At 62.3% G+C, this 21,416-nt stretch overlaps 1 protein-coding gene across 1 annotated transcript in view, besides 3 other annotated features; it reads left to right on the top strand.

The window, feature by feature from the left end:
• Nucleotides 7,770-8,285: an enhancer, noted in NCBI's record as "H3K4me1 hESC enhancer chr4:824263-824778 (GRCh37/hg19 assembly coordinates)". NCBI's record gives its function as "activates a minimal SCP1, AML or CMV promoter by ChIP-STARR-seq in primed H9 embryonic stem cells {active_cell/tissue: H9 hESC(primed)}" and the evidence as "EXISTENCE:reporter gene assay evidence [ECO:0000049][PMID:30033119]".
• Nucleotides 8,286-8,803: an enhancer, noted in NCBI's record as "H3K4me1 hESC enhancer chr4:823745-824262 (GRCh37/hg19 assembly coordinates)". NCBI's record gives its function as "activates a minimal SCP1, AML or CMV promoter by ChIP-STARR-seq in primed H9 embryonic stem cells {active_cell/tissue: H9 hESC(primed)}" and the evidence as "EXISTENCE:reporter gene assay evidence [ECO:0000049][PMID:30033119]".
• Nucleotides 12,612-12,661: a silencer, noted in NCBI's record as "silent region_15111". NCBI's record gives its function as "represses an Ori minimal core promoter by ATAC-STARR-seq in GM12878 lymphoblastoid cells {active_cell/tissue: GM12878}" and the evidence as "EXISTENCE:reporter gene assay evidence [ECO:0000049][PMID:35858748]".
• CPLX1 (complexin 1) overlaps nt 12,631-21,416 on the top strand; it is a 41,173-nt gene continuing 32,387 nt past the window's right edge. The window contains exons 1-2 of the mRNA NM_006651.4: nt 12,631-12,714; nt 14,159-14,268. Of these exons, the coding sequence (NP_006642.1) occupies nt 14,238-14,268 (31 nt within the window). The 5' untranslated portion in view covers nt 12,631-12,714; nt 14,159-14,237. The remainder of the gene's footprint in view (nt 12,715-14,158; nt 14,269-21,416) is intronic.

The following is a 21,416-nucleotide window of genomic DNA, read 5'->3' as shown; positions in this document are numbered from 1 at the left end:
TATGTAATAGTAGTGAAAAGTTGGAAATAGAAATAAAAAATACCACTTACAATAACATCACAACCATGAAACACTTTCAGATAATTTTCATGAATATCTGCAAAACCTATTTACTCATAAAATTATTGCTGCAAAAATAAAAATAAAAATCCTGCAAATTTTGTTAAATTTTTTTTTTTTGAGACCAAGTCTTGCTCTGTCCCAGGCTGGAGTGCAGTGGCGAGATCTCAGCTCAGTGCAACCTCCCCCTCCCAGGTTCAAGCAATTCTGCTGCCTCAGCCTCCTGAGTAGCTGGGATTACAGGTGCCTGCCACCATGCCTGGCTAATTTTTGTATGTTTAGTAGAGACGGGATTTCATCATGTTGGCCAGGCTGGTCTCGAACTCCTGGCCTTAGGTGATCTCCCCTCCTCGGCCTCCCAAAGTGCTGGGATTACAGGCTTGAGCCACAAAGCCTGGCCAGTTTTGTTGAAATTTAAATAGAACTAAATAAATGAAGGGGCATACCATGTTCATGGATTAGAAGACTCATATTAAGAAGTCAATTCTCCCCAAACCAATCTATGCATTCAATGCAATCCCAGATTCCATCAGACCTTTCCATAGAAACCAACCAGCTGATTCTAAAATGTATATGGAAATGCAGCAAACCTAGAAAAGCAGAAAGCATTTTGAAAAAGGACAAAGTTGAAGTACTTAACTACCTGCTTCCAGGACCCGCTGTAAAGCTACAGCAGGGAAGATGTGGTGCTATTGCATAAGGATAATACACAGATCAATGGAAAAAACAGAGTCTAGAAATAGACCTACATAGCCATGGTCCATTGATTTTTGACAGGAGTCCCAAAGAAGTCAATGGGGGAAAGAAAAGCTTTTCCAACAAAGAGTACTGGAATTGGACACCCACAGAAAGAAAGGAAAAGCCCTTACCTCATAGTATACAGTCCCCACCCATTGGTTTCCACCCCCATCTGACTGTCCTCTCAGCCTCAGAGTGGGCCCCACCCAGCCATCCTAGTCATCCTGCCTCGGTTCCAGGTTCACCCTTCTCTTATCCCTGTAGCAGAAGGTCAGGTGGGGAGGAGGTGGTCGGGGGGGCTTCCTGGAGGAGGATGAGAAGGGCTTGGATGAAGGAAGGAGCAGCATGCTCAGGGCAAAGGCACAGAGGAGAGATTCAGGGTGGGGGTCACTTCTGAACCCAGCCCAGACACTCCTTTCTGGGGTTCAGTGTGGGCAGGGGGCTGCATTCCCAGGTCCACAGGGTGCAATGGTGCCTGGAGGAGGGGGAGTCAGGAGTAGTGGGCCACATGGCTCTATTCCCATGCTCTCCTCCCTGACAAGGACAGACAATGCCTCCCTGACAATGGCACTTATCAGTCTGTAGGTAACTTGAGCTGGGAATGTGGGCAAAATAGTTGGTGGCTGAACTACAGCTTGTTCATGACACAATGGCTGCAGGGGCCACATGCCACCCTGAGCTGGCGGGTTCATGGGGTCACAGTCATTGCTGTCCTCTGCCCTCTGCCTGTCCCCTTCAGGTGGCTGGGCCTTCCTGGTCCCCTCCTTGGCTGCGGTGGAGGCCGAGGACAGCCAGGACCCAGGGGAAGACACAGTTCTGTGGTGGCCAGGCCTGTGGGCACCAGGAGCAGAGGGAAGGGAGGATGGCTGGGGCCAGGGGTCTGGGAGCAGAGGGACGCTCAGCCACCTGCTGCGGTGGGCGGCTGATGGGCTGTGCGAGAGACACTGGTGTGGGCAGAGGACTCGGGAAACTGCAGCCTCCCAAGCGGGTCGGGAGCTGGCCCAGCCCCGGGAGGCCCCTCTGCCGGGGAACGAAGCCAAGGCCTGAGAGTGACGCAGCCTCCCAAGGCCACGCTGCCGGCGAGGGGCCAGGCCTGTCCTTCCCGAGTGCAGCACCACTTCTGGGACACACACGTGGTTCTCAGTGCTAGGGGCCGGAGCAGCCCCCGCCGGCCTGGCCAGGACTGAGTGCAGGAAGGGGCTGCCCCAGGCAGTGTGCTGGGAGGGACCTGGGGCCCTCACGGCTCGCAGCTGCCACCAGAGCTGCCCCCATTTTTTTTTCTTTTAATGCTTAAAGAATGCAGCTTTATTCATGTCCATTGGGGCAGCTCAAAACGTAGTTGATAAATCTATTCAAATTTATTTTCCTAGTAGAAGCCCTGAAGGGGTTGTTTGCTGTTTGTTGAAATGAAATCCACGTAACATAAAGCGGACTGTTTCGAAGTGTACGATTCAGCGGCGGTTAAGCGCATTCATGCTGCCATGCAGCCACCGTCGCCGCTCTCTGGCTCCAGAGCGTTCCTGTCACCTCTCAAGGAGACGCCATCCCAGTCCCCCGCATGCTCCCCAGCCTCAGCAGCTGCAGTCGCATTTCTGTCTCTGCGGATTTGCCTGTCCGGACGTTCCCTATAAACAGAAGCGTGCACCTCGAGGCCTTTGTGTCCGGCTTCTCTCACTGACATGCCGTCTTCAAGGCTTGTCCACGCCACGGCCTGTGCCACAGCCTCATTCCTCTTGAAGCGGAATCAAGGTCCACGTGTGGCGGGACCACAGTTTGCGTGTCTGTGCTCTGCCGATGGCGCTGGGCGGCCTCCCCCGTGGCTGCCTCCCCCGTGGCTGCTGTGGCTTGTGCTGTGGTGGACGCCGTGTGCAAGTCTTTGTTCTAGTCTGGGATGCACTGGACATGGGGCACCGGGCCCCACGGCAGTCAGTCCAGCTTATGAGGATGCAGGTGCCCTGCGGACACAGCGCCTCCGCGCTGGACACCGACACGGGCCGGCAGGTTCAGATGAGCTTCTGTCCCCGTGTGCTCGTTCTTGCTGCCGCGCTGGCTGACACAAAGTGCAGGACACGTCAAGGGAAGCAAAGGCACTCTTTCCTCGGGGAGCTCCACTCCTGAGGACGCAGTCCGGGTGTCTGAGCCCAGAGGCCACTGGGAGAGGAGTGGGAGCTGCCAAAGCTGTCTTGGCCCCTGAATGTCCTGAGGGGCCCCCGGTGATGTGAGCTGGGGACTCTCAGCCCAAGGATGCCGCGTGCGGCCGTGGCCTGAAGGGCTCCGCGGGGCACGCTGCGGCCCTGCCTTGTCTACCTCTGGCCTCTCGGCAACTTCCTGGCAGTGGCACAGCCGGGGCTGGGGAGTCATTTGCTGTTGGGACCCGGCCTGTGAACAGCAGGAGGGCTGCCGAGCTCTCAGGCAGGTTTGGAATTCTCTTATCAGCCGGCCTGGTTGGACTGCGGCCAGAAATCAGGCGGCTGTGGCACTTCCGAGCCTTCTCCTTGTGCCCTCCGCACCCAGCTGCACCCGCTAGGTGCCGGCCACACCTGCCCTCAGTGCCTGCAAGGCATCTGCTGGTTCTGCAGCTGTGGCAGCCCTCTCTGCTCCGTCCCCCTCGGCTTCCTGCCTCAAACACCATCTTCTCAGAAACAGACCACGCCCGACTGCCACTGCAGCAGGATGACCCGAGCCGGGGGCTGAGGACTCCACGTCCCCCCAGAAGCCCCAGGTGGCAGCAGACCCCGACTGTCCTACCGCAGGCGAGCTGCAGTGGGTGCCTGGTTGGGGCGGGGTCAGAGCTGTCCTGGGTGGGAATCGATGGGAGAGAAGGGTGGGGTGTGGCTGGACTGCCCTGGACAGTGGCTGTGGCTGCTGGAGCCCAGGGGGTGTCCAGACCCACAGCCCGGCCTGCACAGGGGTCAGGGCTGGGGCGTCGGCAGGGCCCTGCCTGCCTCCTTGGGACCTCAGGAGAGGGCAGCCCACCCCACTCCAGGGAACCACAAGAAGCCACTCTGGGGTCTCTGGTCTGCAACCCGGGGCCTCTCCTGGGCGGTGTCCAGGGCACGGCAGACCCCACCACTGGACTTCCCGCCCCTGGCTCTGCCTGCCTCTCGCTTGCTCTGCAGAGCCCCCAGGGGCCCCTTTGCACTTTCAGCCTTGGCTCCAGCACTTTCTACCCAAGACCCTGGTCTCTCTGTGTCCCATCTGTCCCCTCACCCACAGCGTTCCTCAGCCCTGCCGTCTCTGGCCCCTGCCGGGTATTCTGACCTCCCAGACACAAGCCCCAAAGCCATCCCAGCACCACAGCCACAAGCCCAGGGGACGCTTCCGTGACCTTCCTCTGTTCTAGGGAAGGAGTGGAGGGGTGGCAAGGGGAGTCCCACCCAGGCCTCACCCGGGGGGCCGCATCCACGCCGCATCCAGGCAGGTCCCACGCTGTGACCACTCCTGCCCCGGGCTGTCTCGTGCTGGCACGTCCAATGTGCGTGGCTCAGCCAACCAGGGCTGACCATCGGGACCAGCATGGCAGCCGCCCCCGGCCAAGCAGAGGGGGCCCCGTGTGTTCCGCCTGGTCAGTGGCAGACGCTTTCGGGAACCAGACATCCCGGGCCTGACCCACACCTCTCTGTGTTGGTTTATTTTGCCACCTCAGCGTCCGGCAGAAAATCTGAATGGTCAGGCTTTGCAGCCTTCATCATCTGCTCTCGGCCACAGCAGAATGCAACTGACAGCTGCACCCAGGGCACACGGCCACCCGGCCGCGCCCCAGGAGGGAGCCAGTCCGTGGTTTTCTCTGTTACAGCATCACAGAAGCAGGTTTTCAGCCTGTCCCCTCCCTTGCCTGACTTTTCTAACAAGCAGCAATCTCAGATTCAAAACCACGTTCTGCCCGGGCTGGCGGAAGGGCCGACCCGGCTCACAGGGAGAGGCCCAGCCACACAGCCAGCTGAGAGCCGGAGGACATCACTGGTTTAGCACCCACAACTCCACTTGTCACCCAGCATGTCAGAGGAGGAAGTGGAGAGGATGCTGGGCAGGATTTGGGAGCCCTGGGTACAGAGCGCCTGGCTGGGCCGGCTCGGGGGCCCCATCCAGCTCCTGGGCAGGGCTCTGTCCTGACATCAGCTGGTCCAGGCACATGGGTTTGACTCCCTCACCTTGGGGACACCAATCTCAGGGCTCTGTGTACAGAGCCTGCCTGGCTGGAACACAGTGGCCAGCTGCACAGGGGGACAGCATTAGCCACCCGGCCAGGGGTGACCGAGCCTTCCCTCCTGGCCCAAAATACCTGGCTGGCAGACAGTGGGGCTGAGGGCAGGCTTGGTTCCTCCGCCAGGGTGGTCTCTGCTCCGACCTGAAGCCTCATCCCTCTTCTGCCTTCCACCTTCCCCCTCTTCCTTCCTCCTTCCACCCCGCTTCCCCATTCTCCCTTCCCTCTTCCCCCTTCCTCTTTCCCCCTCCCTCCTTCCTCCTTTCCCCCTCCCTCCTTCCTTCTTCCCCCTTCCTCCTTCCACCTTCCTCCTTCCTCTGTCTTCCACCACATGAGGCCGCAGCAAGGGGGCCTCCCTCCGTGCCCACACGTTGACCGCATCCTGCCAGGCCTGTGGAGCTGTGGGCCTCAGTCTCGGTCCTTATAAGTCTCCCAGCCTGAGCTGCCATCACAGCAGAACCCGTGGAACTAGCTCTGCCGCCACCTCTCATGGCTCACACTTGCTCCCGGCCCCAGGACGTGACCCCTTCCCTTGGGAGTGACACTTCAGGCCCAGAGAGCCTCTGTCACACCCCATAGGCCAATTTGGGAAAAAGGCCCCACTTTAACCTGTAACCTTGCTATCTGGGAGAGTTCGTCCCTTCCTAGCCCCCAGAGAGACCCTGAGATCCGCAGGGATCGGGGACCAGCATTGAGTGTCAAGATCCTGAGAAGGAAGAGGCTCCAGAACTCAGCTCAGAGAGAAGCGGGCTCAGGGCAGAGGGCGCAGCCACGTCCACAGTCAGCACCAAACTGCAATTCCCAAGCAGCCCAGAGGGCCCGAGGGCTGGAGCCTTCGGCCCCCAGGGGTCCTTGCTGGGCACCTGTGGGTGAGGGGAGCCCTTCAACCCTCCCATCTTCTGAGGAGCCGGCACGGAAAGGAGCCCTGAGTGAGGCCTGGAGCTCTGGGGGCAGGGATGTGGCCCAAAAGGCTCAGCCCAGCCAGGGCAGCTGACTTGAGTCCCCAGGCTCGCCATGCCTGGCAAGGGGCTCGGGTGGCCCAGATTGAGGCAACTCCCTCAATGCCTCCTCCATGGGGTCCTGGCTGGGTGGCCCCCAAGCCCTCTCCACACCCCCCGGGTCCCCGTGTGTTCTGCCCCAGTGCCCTTCCTGGCCCCACCTGGGAAGTCACCGCCTGGGACTGGGCTGCCCCAGGGTGCCCGCAAGTTGACTCTTTTCAGTAAATGCCCCGTTTCCTTTGTGGGGCTGACTCTGCTCCAACATTGTTGGTTTAGGGCCAGTGGTATGACGCTGGGCTAAGGGCTCACCTCTCTGAGCCACACCAGCCTCACCATTAGCACAGGTTGGGAATCACACCCTCCAGATGTTTCTGCAGCACCTGTGGGGTCACAGGTACCCCTTTGCCACTGTGTGCTGGGACCGTGGGGTGCACAGCCTGGAGCAGCCTCCCCCAGGCTGGACTCAGGGCTCCTTTCTGTCCCCGCCCCAGGCCTCAGCCCACACTGTGGGCACTCCTTGGGTTTCCTGTGACAGGCCTGGGTGACCTCCAATCATTTAGGGCTGGCTTGATCACCCACCGGCCGTGCTCCCCTCACCTGTGACGGGCCTGGGTGACATCCAGTCATTCAGGGCTGGCTTGATCCCCCACCGGCCGTGCTCCCCTCACCTGTGACGGGCCTGGGTGACATCCAGTCATTCAGGGCTGGCTTGATCCCCCACCGGCCGTGCTCCCCTCACCTGTGACGGGCCTGGGTGACATCCAGTCATTCAGGGCTGGCTTGATCCCCCACTGGCCGTGCTCCCCTCACCTGTGACGGGCCTGGGTGGCATCCAGTCATTCAGGGCTGGCTTGACCCCTCAACAGTTGTGCTCACCTCACCTGTGATGGGCCTGGGTGACATCCGGTCATTCAGGGCTGGCTTGACCCCCCACCGGCCGTGATCCCCTCACCTGTGATGGGCCTGGGTGACATCAAGTTATTCAGGGCTGGCTTGACCCCCCAATGGCCGTGTTCTCCCTACTCTGTCTCAGGCTCCTGCAGGGTTCTTGTTGCCATCTCCTGAGCTCCTGTCCACTGTCTCCTCCCAGCACACGACCCTGTGAGGACACAGCCCCACCTGCCCTCCTCAGGACAAGTGCCCAGCTCCCAGCAGTGTCTGGAAACACTTGTGTGCTAGTGGGTGGCTGAGCTACTGAGGGCTGAGCCAGTGCCTAAGCAAAGGAGCAGGGTGGGTGGACGGGGCCAGGGGCTGTGGGATACACATACCCTAGGCAGCAGCTTCTCCCGTATCACCTCGTGGGAGCCTCTGAAGCTTCCTGAAGCTTCCTGGAGGCAGCTCAGAGAGAGGCCACACAGGGCCAGGCTGCCCACTCCACACGTGTGTCCCTGGCCCAGCAGGAGCCCCTGAGCAGGGGGAGCTGAGACCCAGGAAGCCTTGGTTTGCAACGCACAACTTCTGTGCTGTGAACACCCCTGTCTGCTGGCCTCCAGCTGCCCAGGCACCTTCCCTGGAACTGGACACCCTCCCTCTGCTGGGCGCCGCTATGCTGTCTACACTGCTGGGGTGACTGCCCTGTCCTGCAGCACTGCCTTGGCGCCCACTGCCCTGTGAGACGGTGCTGCCCTCCCGCACCTTCCCAGGCCCACCCCACCCTAAGATGCCCCTGCTCTGCCCTCCAGGGACAGCCCCAGGGACTCACTTCCGCCACTGTGCCCCCACCACACCCATGGACACAAAGTCCGACAGTCAGGAGGTCAAGCCCTAGGGGACACAGAGAAGGCCACAGCCCGGCTGAGCCGTGCACGCCCTTTCCCTAAGTGAGCACCAGGGCTGCCGGAGGGGTCCCGTGCTCCTGGGGAGCCAAAATAGCTCCTCCTCCCACTTCCTGGGCATGAAATGCTCCCAAAAATACCCACATGCATGTGATGTGGCCTCACTCCAGGTGTCACTGGAGGAGAGGGAGGGAGGGAAGGGGCATTCGGCGTTCTGAGCCTGGCTTCAACCCAGCTCTCCCTGCCCTCTGCCCCCCGCCTACCCCTTCCGGCTCCATCACACGGCACTCAAGACCCTAAGGAGCATCTGAGGCTCTGGGTCCCAGGAGTGCAGGTGTTTGGCCCAGGATCCTCCCGGGAAACTTCTCCTCCCCACGACTGGCAGCTCCCAGGATCTCTTGCCCATCTCCAAATTCCAGCACCACCCACTGTGCTCACCACCCAGCCAGCCACACCCCTGGGCCAGCCCTGCCTCTCCCAGACGAGCTGTCTCTCACCCTGTCCTCCGGGAAGGCCCCTGAAGCCCCTCCTTCCTGCCCTGAGGTGTTGAGGCTGGGAGGGCGGAGTCCCTCGAGCAGCTGCAGCCCACAGCAAGGCCCCTTTCCTCCACAGCCTCTGGGTTTGTCCACCCCAAGCCCACTCCCCACGGGCGGCTCTTTTGTTGCCCTGGGTCCCTGGTGGATCAGGGTCCCCGGCTGAAGGAGGCCAGATCCACACCCCACACTCAGCGCAGGGCTGGAGCCGGTGGCTCCCCCTGAAGCTGGAGGGCCCTGGCCTGGCGGGTGGGCTGCCCGGGACCTGGCCTTGCCCAGCTCAGAGGCTCCCTCCAGCCAGGGGTGAGTGCCGCTGACCCGGCTACCTGGTGCTGCTGACTGCATGGTTGGGACCATGCTGGGCCGCAAGAGATCAGCTCAGAGCGGGCCCCATGTGTGCCCTGGGGCACCATGAGATCTGGGCACCGTGTGACCGGGCAGCCGTGGATCCCAGGACCCCAGGGCAGGGCCTGGGGCACAAGCATTCGCTCAGCTGCGGCAGTACCTCTGCTCTGCTCCCAGGGGCCCACTAGGCTGACCTCCCAGGCGCTGGCTTCCCCCGGCTAGATGCTGGACCTCTCTCACCCAGTGGAGGAGGGGAACGGGTTCAGGGCGCTTCCCAGGCGAGGACACCCTCCACTCAGCCCAGGTCCTGCCCCAGCTCTGGCAAACGGCAAGGGTCTACATCTTGCTTTGCTCACGCTTTTCACGTGTTGTTACTTTTGGAATATCAAAATCCAGCAGGAAAATGACAGCGTGGATGGTGTCGGCACTCAGACTGAATCACTCAGCACATGTAACTATTAAGTTTGTGTTTGAAGGTTCTGGGTGGGTGCTGTGGGCCGGATCCACACATGCGGTGTGGCAGAGCGCTGCCCTCCTGCTGGGCCCATGGGGGACATGGCCCCCTGGCCACACCCCACGCCAGGACTGAAGGCCAACCCCAGGAAACCCTGACAGTGCTTCCCAGACCCTTTCCTGGCCCAAGGCAAGGAGGATGCCTGGCACCCAGGAGGGCTATGGGCAGATGGGACCCAGAAGATGGGAGCAGGGTGGCAGTGGAGGCCTTGGCAGGGGCTTCCAGAGAGGCTAGAGCTGGAGGTTGCAGCAGGGCAGCTGCCTCCTTTCCCTGCTGTCTGGAGTGACCCCGCAGGGTCTCAAACCCAGTGCCACATGGTCCTCACACAGTCCTGCTTTGTGCTCCTGGGGTCCCTGGCCTCACTGGGGCTGGGGATGGAGCATCTGAGGAGCAGAGGGCTGGCTGGGCCGGGGGTACCATCCATGTCCAACCGGCTGGCACAGGCCCCACAGCCAGGGCTCGGCCCAGCCAAGCACTCACACTTCTCCAAGCTGACCTCTGGGGGAGCCCTCGTTGGAGCTCCATCCTGCTCCTCCCGGACTTGCTCCACACCCCACCTCCTCCTTCTCCCAACATCCGCCTGGACGGGGTGGCCTCCAACTCTTCCCCGGCCTGCAAAATGTTTTCCCTGCCTGGATCTTCAACCTGGCCTTCAACCTGCTGGCCCCTTTCTCACTCAGCTCCTGCCCCTTTCCAGCCGGCTGGAGGTCTGCGGGGCTTCTTCTCCAGGGCTCAGGGCCTCCTCTGGGCACTCGAAGGGCCAACCGCACCTGCCCTGGTGTGGCCAAGTGGCCCGTGGGGGTTGGCAGAGGCCTTTTGCCGCGTCACCACCTTCTGCCACTGGAACGGAGCCTGGGTGGCTCCTGGCCAGCAGCCTGTGACTCCCATCCCAGCTGGGCAGCCCTGGCCTGGCTCACACACCCTGAGTGGGCACCACCCTGAAGCCCTCCAGCAGATGCCCACTTTCCCTTCCCCTGGCCCAGCTCACACACCCTGAGTGGGCACCACCCTCAACTCCTCCAGCAGATGCCCACTTTCCCTTCCCTAGGCCACTTGTCACTCTGACCTGGGGCTGTCACCAACCTTGTCTATTTCCCCCAAGTTGTGGCTGGGCCCCCCCACCCCCAGGTTAGGGCCTAGACAAGTGTGAGAGCTGAGAAGCAGTCACTGCATGTGTGGCTGGATGTAACAAGTAACAACAGGGACAGGCAGAGACAGAGAGAGACGGACACAGAGAGACAGAGACAGACACAGAGACAGAGAGATACAGCGACAGAGAAAGAAAAGACAGAAAGACAGAGACAGAGATAGAAAGAGACAGAGAGACAAAAAGACACAGAGACAGATACAGTGACAGAGAAAGACAGAGACAGAAAGATAGAGACAGAGAGACGGGCAGAAAGACACAGTGACAGAGAGATACAGCGACGGAGAAAGAGACAGAGAGAGAGGCAGAGGAAGACAGGGCAGAACGTGAGGGCTGGCAGAGGGTCTCTGTCCTCTGTGCCCCAGGCCCCAGCTCCAGGTGTGCTTGGAGCTCAGGCTGGCCTGGGTTGTAGAACGGGGAGGGGTCAGCCTAGGAGTCCAGTGCTTCTGCTCGGAAGAACGGGCACCTCCCTGCACTCCTGTGCAGACTGTCCCAAAGGCACCAGCATATCCCTTGCATGCAGCTTGTGGAGGTGGCAGGGTCAGTCATGAGCCTGGCTCTGGGCTCAGGGGGTCACCCCTGGGGTCCTCTCTGGGGTTACTGTCCGGGTTAGCTGTTGGGTTATCCACCCAGTTAGGGATGGAGAGAGAAAGCACCAGGGCCGAGAAGTGACCTCTTTCTTGGACCCGAACATCTCACCCTTGCTGTCCCCTCCCAGGTCCTGAGGAGACTAGAGGAGCAGATGGAGCAGAGCAGGCTGGGGCTCAGGCCGGGCCCCCAGGCATGTGTCCTGCCTCCTGTCCCTGGGCCCAACGTTCTGAGCCCACTTGGCTCAGATCCCGGGAGAGAGGAAGGGACGGTGCTGGGGGTGCCCATGGCTTCCAGCCAGGGAGGCTGAAGAGACCCCAATCCTAGGGCATGGGTCCCCCTCTGGGAGGTTGCCTGTGAACCCCCAGGCCCACGGGACCCTCATGGCTGTCTCAGGGAGCCCCCATGGGCTTGGCCCTGGTGCCTTCACCCTTCCCTCTCCCCCAGCGCTCCCTTCCTCTGCGAAGGGTCCCCTGCCAAGTCAGCAGAAGAGTGGGGACGGGGGCAGAGGCGCTGGGGCCAAGGCTGGGAGTCCAGGCCTCTGAGTCCTCCTGAGCTCAGGCTAAACACGGGGCACCGGAGGGGATGGGGCTGAGGGCGGGGGAGGGGCCGCATCTTCCCTGCGCCAGGGGAGTCCCCAGGACTCAGCAGGGAGGGGACAGTGACAAGTTAGTGCGGCGGCCACCGGCAGCGGCCCCCCTCCCCCCTCCCCACCCCCACCCCGCCAGGAGCACAGGGCAGCTCTAGGGTCGCGGTGCGCCCCATCCCTCCCGCCGCCTGGCTCCCGACACTGCACAGCGCGAACCGCAGGGCCGACCTTGCGGCGACCCCGCTCTCCCGCAGTGCCGCGTCCGCTGCAGAGGAAATCCCGGGGGCCAGGGGAGGGAGCGGTGGGGTCTCTGGCCTTCGTCCCGGTAAAGGAAACAGCGACTCCGTTACACCGAAAGTGAGCCCGGGCCGGCCTGCGGGTCTCTGGCTGCGAGGGGCTTGCGTGGGTTTTCAGGGGTCTGGGGGCCCCCTTCTCCCGCCCTGCGATACGGGGAGGTCGGGGCAGAGGGGTCGGGGCGGCGGGCGGCGCTCAGGGACACGGTCACCGGAGAATGGGGGCGGCAGCGACTCCCAACCCCTGGCCCCTCCGCTCGGGAGGCAGCGACTTCTCCGCCCGAGGGTTTTGCACCCACCGGCCCCGCGCGGACCCTGTAGGGAGCAGGCCCGCACCGTCGGGCTGGGGGCGGGGGGGCAGAGCCGGGGGCGCCCAGATCAGGGGCGGGCGGGGGTCGCAGGCGCCCGCCGGGGGAAGGTCGAGCCCGGGCCGGGTTGGAGGGAGGCGGGGGCGCGTCACTCGGGTCCACCCCCGCCCCCGCCCCCGGGTCCACCCCCGCCCCCGCCCCGGGTCCACCCCCCGCCCCCGCCCCCGCCCCCCGCCCCCGCCCCCGGGTCCACCCCCGCCCCCGCCCCGGGTCCACCCCCCGCCCCCGCCCCGGGTCCGCCCCCCGCCCCCGCCCCCCGCCCCCGCCCCCGGGTCCACCCCCCGCCCCCGCCCCGGGTCCACCCCCCGCCCCCCGCCCCCGGGTCCGCCTCCGCCCCCGCCCCCGGGTCCACCCCCGCCCCCGCCCGGCGCCCGCGGCCCCGCCCCTCGGCGCTCCCCTCCCCGTGCTCGTCACGCTCGGACGCGGGCGGGGGGCGGGGAGCGCCTGCGAGTGACGCGCCCTCCTCGCGGTGCCCTTCAGCCGCCGCCGCAGCTCACCGGGCGCCACATGGACCCAGCCGGCCCGAGCGCGCCCCGCCGCTGACCGCCCGCGCCCCGGGAAGGTAACCGCGCCCCGAGCGCAGCGCGCGCCCGGCCTCCGCTCCCCGGGTCTCCCCTCCCGGCCCCGGCGTCTCCTCCCCGGCCCCCGCTTCTCCCCGCTTCTCCCGCCGGCCCCGGTTTCTCCTTCCCGGCCCCCCTTCTCCCCGCGGCCCCGGCTTCGCCCAGCTCCTCCCCCCGGCCTCCGCTCCCCGGGTCTCTCCTCCCCGGCTCCGGCTTCTCCCCCCGGCTCCGGCCTCTCCCTCCGGCCCCCGTTTCTCCCCCCGACCCCGGCTTCTCCCCGCAGCCCCCGTTTCTCTCCCGGGCTCCGCGCGCGCGGGGTCCGGGGCGGGCGCTGTCCACTGCCGCGGTGCTGAAGCGGCCCCCGCGGTCCCGGCCCGCGCCCGGCCTCCTCCTCGCTTCTTCCTGTCTCGAGGCTCCCCCTCTCCTCCCTCGCCCTCTTTCTTTCCTCTCCTGGCGCGCTCCCGCCTGAGGGCCGCTCGCCCGCCCGCAAAGCCGAGGGGTGCGGGTGCGGCGGGGCCGGAGCCCTGCGGGTCTGCGGGGCCCGGCCGTGCCCTCCTTCCCCGCGCCGCGGGAGCCAGGGGAGAAGTTTGGAGGAGAATCGGCGCTGCGGCAAAGCCTCCGAGGGGCGCTCCCCGCCCGCCGCCCTCCCAGTCCCCGCGCGAGTCTCCTTCCTCTGCGGAGGGCGAGGGGTGAACCGTCAAACAGTGTCTCTCCAGGGACCTGGGGTTCCCCGATAGGAGAGACCCCGCAAAACCGGGGGGCTCACTGCGGCTGCTGTGATTTCAGAAAGCGGCTTCCCAAGAGGGGACCAGAGCGCCCCACCCCACCCCATGCACGCCCCCGGGGCGGGGGTGCTCTGTCCCCGTCCCCACGTGTTTCCTGAAGGCTGAGCCCCCTGAAGTTTCTCCCCAACCCCGATCTCTTCTACGCGGGCCATGTGGGGGGCACACTGACTGCAGTGCCGTCAGGGATAGGGTCACCCAAGCCTCCCTGGTCAGAAGCCACAGGAGCCCGCCCTGAAGGGTACCCGCTCAAAGACCCACCCCCAACCCTTCTCCACGGCCCTGGGCTCGGGACCACCGCGGAGGCGCCGCTCCAGACACTGAGCTGCAGAGCGGAGCAGTCACCTTCAAACGCCCCCTGGGCCCCGCCCCTGCTTCCGCAGCCTGGCGCCAGGCGCCTCTGAGCGATGCCCCCTAAGCCATCAGCAGCCCTCCCTGCAGAGGCTTCAGACACCCCAGGAGCTGGGGAGACCATTTTCAGGTCCTCTGGGGTCCTGGTTTGGGTGTGGGGACAGAAGCCCCTCACGAAGGACTTCCCAGGCAGCCGCTCCAGGTGGGGGAGGGTCCAGCCCACAAGGTATTGCGGGTAAGGAATGATGGTCTCTGGGGAAGGCCAGGCAGGGGCCTGCTTAGGGTGACCTGTGACCACTTCACTCTCCCCCAGGAAGAACACTCGCTCCCGGCCATACTTGCGTGTGAGTTCTGACCCCTGGAGGAGCCACTGTGGAAGCAGAGCAATCGCCATGGAGTTTGTGATGAAGCAGGCTCTAGGAGGTAGGAAGCGGGAGGTGGGGTGGGGAGGGGCTGAGGGGACATGGAGAGACCACCACAGCAGCTGCTCCTCATCTGGCCCACCGCAGCAGCGCCCCTGCAGCCACACGGCCACCCACGCAGCCCTGCACAGGAGCCTGGGGCAGAGGAGCAAGGACCGTGCCCAGCAGCGCCCCCAGCCCGGCCCTTTTCGAGGCCCCGAGCCAGAACTGGTGTTCCTGGCGGGACAGGGGCTGCCCTGTAAGCTCACTCTGCCCCACTGCTGTGGTCGGGGCAGAGCCCATGGACCATGCTGATGCACGTCCTGGGGGAGGGTGCACACTCTGGCGTAGGCTTTACAGGGCCAATTCTAACTGGCCAGGCTGGGCAGCCCCCAAGGGGGCTTCCTTCCAGATGAGGAGAGCCAAGCGGTGGGAGAGCAGGATGCAGGTGGCAGCCTCAGGGACAGGCGTGGGGACAGAGCTGGCCTGTGCATCTGGCGAGGACCCTGTGGGTTTCACTTGGGTGAGGCAGCGCCATCCTCAGGGACCAGGGCTTGCTGGTTACGGGAGCGAAGGAAAAGGCCCGAAACAGCTTGTGTGTCTCGACTGCCTCCCAGGCGGGACGTGCAGCCTTTTTTGTGTGTACTGGGGTGGGGCCAGGCCCCCTTCCAACCTGCTGTCTGCTATTTGAAAGGAACCTCGTCCCCACTTGACCCAAGGCTGTCATTGTGGCCAGAGACCATGTCAAGAGCAGTGGCTGGGTTCCTAGACCAGGAGGTGGGCAGGGCCTGGGCCATGCTGGTACAGACGTGTCCCGGCAGAGCTGATGGGTCAACTCAGGCCTCGGGGCTGTCGTGGCGAGTCTCAGTTTTGCCCAGAGCCGTCCATCCTGTGTTCCCCCAGCACCAGTGCCCAGAACTCCTGTGAGGGGAACCTGTGGCCGGTGCCCGATTCTACCACTAGAGACGTCTTGCTTGGGTGGCCTCCACGGGGGAGCACCCTCACCTGATGCCATTCACACCTTGGAGTGAGTCAGGCCTCCTGGGAGCATTTCTGCAGTGGGGGAGCTGGCCGGGTTCGAGGGGCCAGGGACAAGGGTGTACAGAGGGCAGGCGCCGCTTCCCCCAGGGCAGGAGCTGCCTGCCTGGCTGTCTCCCGGAGGGTGGCTGTGCTTCCACTCAACACAAATTAAATGAAAAGATATTGAGCCTGTCCTGGGGCCACATCCCTGAGATTTCGTGGTCAAGGGTAAGAGTCAGGTTGAGTCTAATTATAATGGCTGCGTCACCGGGCTGTGATTCAGGGACAAGCCTGCATCTGCGCTGGGAGGGACGCACGTTCCACCCAGGGAGTCCCAGGCTGTTACGGATAATTAATTAGTTGGCTAATTCAGGCCCTGAGGTGGGCTTGTAAGAAACTGAAATATCTTATTTGGCTGTCTACATGACTGAAATTAGCTGGGTAATTACCAGCCTGAATTCCCTTTTTGTTTCATGGCAGCCCAAAGTTTCTCCAGCAGCAGCAACCGGGCAGGCGTCGCTCAGCGTGGTGGAGCTGAGCGGGGGCAGCCAGCAGACCCTGGGGGGGCTCCACGCTGAGTGCTTCCCAGAGCACCCCACATTGGCTTTGCAGAGCACGTTGAGGCTCGGAGCCAGAGCTGCTGAGGGCGGGAGCTGGTGGGGGGCTTCCAGTCGAGACCTTGTTTTCTGCCTCTGCGCCTCTGTCCCTCACCCGGCGAGCCTCATTGTTGCTGTCTCAGGATGCGTGTGAGTGAGACAGAGCAAGACAGAGATGGGAAATGGGGGAACCTCCAGACAGCACGACAGAGCTTGGCAGAGACCCCAAGAGAACTATTGAGAAACAGACCAAGCCCCGGACACAAAGAAGCTGGCAGGAGAGGGAGCAGGAGGCACCCAGGAAGCCGTTCAAAGAAAGGCGAACCCAGAAACAGGGTCGGGGAGGGGGAGCTGGAGAAAGAAAATGACAGCCCAGAAACAGACAGAGAAAAAGACAAGAATGTGTTATTCAGCACGCACAGGGACAGACAGGTGAAAACAGAGACGGCACGTCAGAGACAGAGGCAGAGGGGAGAGAGAGAAAGAGGGAGAGACGGAGACAGAGATAGAGGGAGACACAGAGACAGAGGGAGACAGAGACAGGGAGAAACAGAGACAGGGAGAGATGGGAGCAGAGGGAGAGACAGAGGGATACAGAGAGACAGACAGACAAAGGAAGAGGGCAGAGAGAGGCAGAGGGAGAGGTGGAGGCAGAAGGAGAGAGAGAGACAGAGAGAGTTAGAGAGATAGAGATGGAGACAGAGACAGAGGGAGAGACAGAGATGGGGAGAGACGGAGAATCAGAAACAGAGGGAGAGACAGTGGTGAGAGGGAGAGACAGAGACAGAGGGAGAGACAGAGACAGAGGGAGAGACAGTGGGGAGAGAGACGCATTAGAAATGAACTGCTAAGAGGAGTCAGGGCCAGGAGCGCAGGCAGCATGGCACATGCACACGTGCACGCCCGTCAGAGGGTGCAGCAGAGAGGAGGAAGAGGTGAGGACCTGCCCAGGGCTCTGGGCAGGGGGACAGGCCTGGTTAAATCAAGACCATTCGGGGGCTGTCCGCGGCAGGCTGGGCCGCAGGTGTGAGTCTTGCTGAGGAGTGAGTGGCCCAGGGCCTGCTCATCTGACCCAACGCTGGGTCTCAAGGAGGGGCCCCTGTTGGGGCCACCAAGGGAAGGGAGCATGGTGGCTGCCGGGGTGATCGCTCGTGGGGGAGCGGGAGGCTCCTCTGCAGCAAAAGTGGCCTTGAACTGGGGCCGGGCCTCCCCCCACAACACGTGGGTCCGGATCCAGGGTCCTCAAGGGAGTAATTTAAAGAAACTGGTTTCCTCAGGCCAGAAAGTTGCAAACACGGCCTGGGAGCTCTGTGGACAGCGTGGAGGAACGTGGCACGTGTGGGTGCCGTGGTCACTGCAGACCCTCATGGGGCTAAATGTGGCAGAAGCGAGCAGCCACCCGCTCTCCCATCCTCCGCCTTGATGTGACACACGCCCTGTTTAAACACGCTCAGGTCCTCGGGAATGTGTGGGGCAGGCGGGCCGGGGCTTCAGGTGGGACACGGCTTGGAGGATGCATGTGCGGAGAGGCTGGGGTGCAGAGTGGGAGGCAGCCGGACACTCAGGAGAGCCTCTGACTGCCCCAGCGACAGAGCCCAAGGCAGGACTCACCCATGCTCGGCTCTGCCACGTGTGGGGAGGTCTAGCGGGCAGGTCCAGTGACTCCGGTGGTTCAGTCACGATGGACAGTGTCCGGCAGTGAATGCCCCTCACCCAGCCAGGCCCAACCTGGGGGGCGACAGCCTGGCCTGGGTTCAGTGGAGAAGCTGTCCTTGTCCCCGGAGAGTGGTACGCTGTTGGGTTCTGTGTCCAGTCCTACATGGGGAGGGAAGCAGGTGAACATCTGGGGAGAACACACCGTAGGGGTGCGGTCCTGGGTTTGGCGTGAGGGGGAGGATTGTGGTCATCCAAGCCGGGGTGGACGAGAAGTGTCTCGTGGACGGCCCAGGCAGGAAGTGCAGGGTTCCACCGTGTGGGAGAGCCCCTCCGCGCCCCCGTGGGGCTGGGCTGTGAGTTCTCGGCAGGAACAACCCAAGGGGCTTGTGGGGGCCACCGGTGTCCACCTTGGGGGTTCACGCGAGGCTGGTGAGGGGTGTCCACCTTGGGGGTTCACGTGAGGCTGGTGAGGGGTGTCCACCTTGGGGGTTCACGTGAGGCTGGTGAGGGGTGCAGTTGGGAAAGAATCTCCCTCTGTGAGCAGAGACCACCAGAGCCAGGAGTCCAGGCCAGGGATGCCCTGAGCCACAATGCAGCCAACACCAGCATCTCCCCCAGCCCTCCACGGGGATGGAGGGGGCACCTCCTTCCTCCTTCCCGGCACCAAAGTGGGGCTCAGCACTCACCATCTGGGACCTCAGGCAGGGCCATGGAGGCAACTGGGATCTGGGCAATCCTGCCCTGATTCCCAGTGTCCACCCCTGAGACTTACACCATGGGCAAGGTTGGGTGTCCACCCTGTCCCAGACAGAGGTCCCTCTGGCTCTCCTGCCTCTCTCTTCTTGCCCAGTTTGAAGCTCAGCCTTCTCTGTTTATTAGGGACCCCACAGGCTCCTGGTGGTTGAGGCAATGGGGGATTCTGCCAGTTCCTGCCCCATTGGGCCACTGATCAGGCTCTCTGGACCTGGGAGGACGATGGAGCTGCAGGCTGGGCTGAGCTGGGTCCGGGAGGACGGTGGAGCTGCAGGCTGGGCTGAGCTGGGTCCGGGAGGACGGTGGAGCTGCAGGCTGGGCTGAGCTGGGTCCGGGAGGACGGTGGAGCTGCAGGCTGGGCTGAGCTGGACCTGGGAGGACGGTGGAGCTGCAGGCTGGGCTGAGCTGCAGGGACAGCAGCAGATCCGGAGGTGAAGCTCTTGAATTCCACATGGGGAAGATTCTTTTGGCTGCAAGTAACAATCAGAGGAAGAGGAGCTTGAATTGGGGTGACGATGTGTCAGGAGGTGGCCCAGCTGCTCAGCGATGCTACTGGGGACCTGGTGCCATCAGGTGCCACCTTCGTCCTCAGTGGATCTTTCATGCTCAGCTGCTCCTCACAATCTCAAAGTGGCTGCTGCTGCTCCAGCATTGCATCCATAGTCAGGGAAGGAAAAAGAGAGGAGCTAAGGGGCAACCCCTTCATCTGTTTAGTGGTGGTCTTTACAGACTCTCATGGAGGGTTTCCATTTACTTGCCACAGCTAGAAGAGGAAGGTGGGGGCCAGGGTGGGCCCGTCCTACTCCAAACAGAGGCCGGGTGTTGGGCAGGCGTCCCACAGTGCCTGACTCACACCCAACTTGGGGAGACTTGGTTTCTAGGTGCAGAACCGCTAGGCAATGACCCCCCAGCAGTGTGTCCTTCCCAGCCTTACTCCTTGGAACAAGGCATGTGCTCGAAAGGCAGTTTGCAAACACTTAACAGTAAAATGCCAACATTTGTTCAGAACGGACTTCACAAACGCCGTGTGGTCGAGAAAGCACTCACTCACTTTGCTGGGTTCGGCAGAGATGCCTCTTATCCCAGATTTCTGGGAGGCTGGAAGGACCCTTCAGAGAAACTGCCTTTCCTCCCGAAACCGTGAAGGGCAGTCCTTTCCTCCAGAGAGGATGCTCTTGGTTGATTAAGCTGCAACTCAATTATAAATACTTTAGCCCCAACTTGGGAATAAAATGGATATTATGCACTTCAACTGACAAAGTTATTTATGTTTTTGCCTCATTGGTTGGCAAGACGTTCCAGTTGGGGTTAGAGCATTTGTTTCAATAGCTCCTGCGTGACAGGACTACTTCAGTCCCGCTTTGCTGCCATCAGACGCTGCTGGACTCGCACGGGGAGCGCAGAGCGTTTAATGCTGGGACATCAGACAGAACAGGGAACTGATGAAAGCTTCAGAATGAACATTGAGTCCACGCAAATCTGATGCTGCCAAACTTCAGAGAACCTGGGTCTCCTGGTCCACACGGAGATCAGACGAGGGGGACACTGAGTGCCTGGCAGCCCTTCCACTAGGCGGTCCCCCGGGATGAGGCGAGGCCCCACCCTCCAGCTCCACCATCCAGTCCAGCACCGTCCTTGGCCGCGGGCACTGCTGTCCTTGCCTGCGGACCGAGCGCCCAGCTCTTCAATACAGCACCTGGTCCTCGCTTTCAGGAGAGGATGCGTGGAGACAGGCGAGGTGGACGTGCCAATAAGTGACCCAAACAGTGCCAAGCTCGGCGGCAGATGGCGCAGCCGCCGGTTTCCAGGACAGTTGTAATCCTTGGCCCTCATTCGGCCTCTTCCCGTCACTCACATGGCGCGGCTTTCCTGGCCTCGGCGGTGTGGACGGGGGGCCTTGGCCATGGTTGCAGGACCCCAGCTCCAGCTCAGGTCAGCGTCTCATCCCAGGTGAGCTAATGAAGATCTGCAAAGCCACCAGAGTTGCTGAGGAGAGAAGAGGTGTTTGTGGCACTTCAGCGTGGGCGCAAAACAGAGGGAGCATTGCAGGACGTGCATCAGACGCTGGGCCCGGGGACCTGTGAGGCCACCATGTCAGCCTCTCTGAGACGGTGGCAGTCGAGGCCCGTGGCGGGGCTGGGGCTGGTCCACAATCAGCTTGACAAAGTAAGGTGGTGGCGGCCAGCCAGGCCCAGGGCCCCTGGGTGTCAGCAGGTGAGCAGGTCAGGCGGGCATGGCCCGGTGCTGCAACACCTCTCCAGCGCCTCGGTGCCTCCCCTCCCCAAGGGCTGGGGCGAACCAGGCTTGGCTTGGACCTGTGCTCAGCTGCACTGGGGCCTCTCGGGCAGCAGGCTGGACACCCAGCTCTCAGGAGGGGTGTGGGCTTGTCTGCAATGCAAGAACAGGAGCCAAAAGCCAACCTTCTTTTACACCAGATTCACCTGTGGTCATTCTTCTGACCTTGCCCAATGCGCTCAGGGATGACAGGTGGACAGTGAGCCACCCCCGAGGGCGGTGGCGCCTCCAGTGTCCCCTGTCAGACTTGGCTCCTCAGATGCTGGTTTATTCCTTGACACCGGATGGGGAAAATATTCTGAGATACTATGTCCAGCGTGCCCACAGGACCTCCCCTCACGGCTGGTGGGAACAATGCACCCTCCAATGGGCACCTGGGGAGGGTCTCTGGCCAGCAGCATCTCCAGATGGAAGTGGAGGGGAAGGGAGCCCCAGGGCCTGGAGGAGGAAATCCTCATGGCCAAGGGGGCGTGAGGGAAGGGGGCGGTCACTGCAGTCATCAGTGGGTAGGGATTCCTGATGCTCCATCCTTACTTAAAATTTTTCTCTTAATTAATATTAAATTATCCTGATTATGCTGGGTCTTGTTTTAATTTTTGCCTAGGAGTCTCCTTGGACTGATTTTTTTTTTCTTTTTGAGACAGAGTCTCGCTCTATTGCCCAGGCTGGAGTGCAGTGGCGCAATCTCAGCTCATATAACCTCCGCCTCCTGGGTTCAAGCGATTCTCCTGCCTCAGCCTCCTGAGTAGCTGGGATTACAGGTGCCTGCCACCACGCCTGGCTAATTTTTTTTTTTTTTTTTAGTAGAGACGGGGTTTCACTGTGTTGCCCAGGCTGGTCTCGAACTCCT

Source organism: Homo sapiens, chromosome 4 (genome assembly GCF_000001405.40).
Source record: "Homo sapiens chromosome 4, GRCh38.p14 Primary Assembly".
Classification (NCBI taxonomy): domain Eukaryota; kingdom Metazoa; phylum Chordata; class Mammalia; order Primates; family Hominidae; genus Homo; species Homo sapiens.
This window is presented reverse-complemented; position numbering and strand designations above follow the sequence as displayed.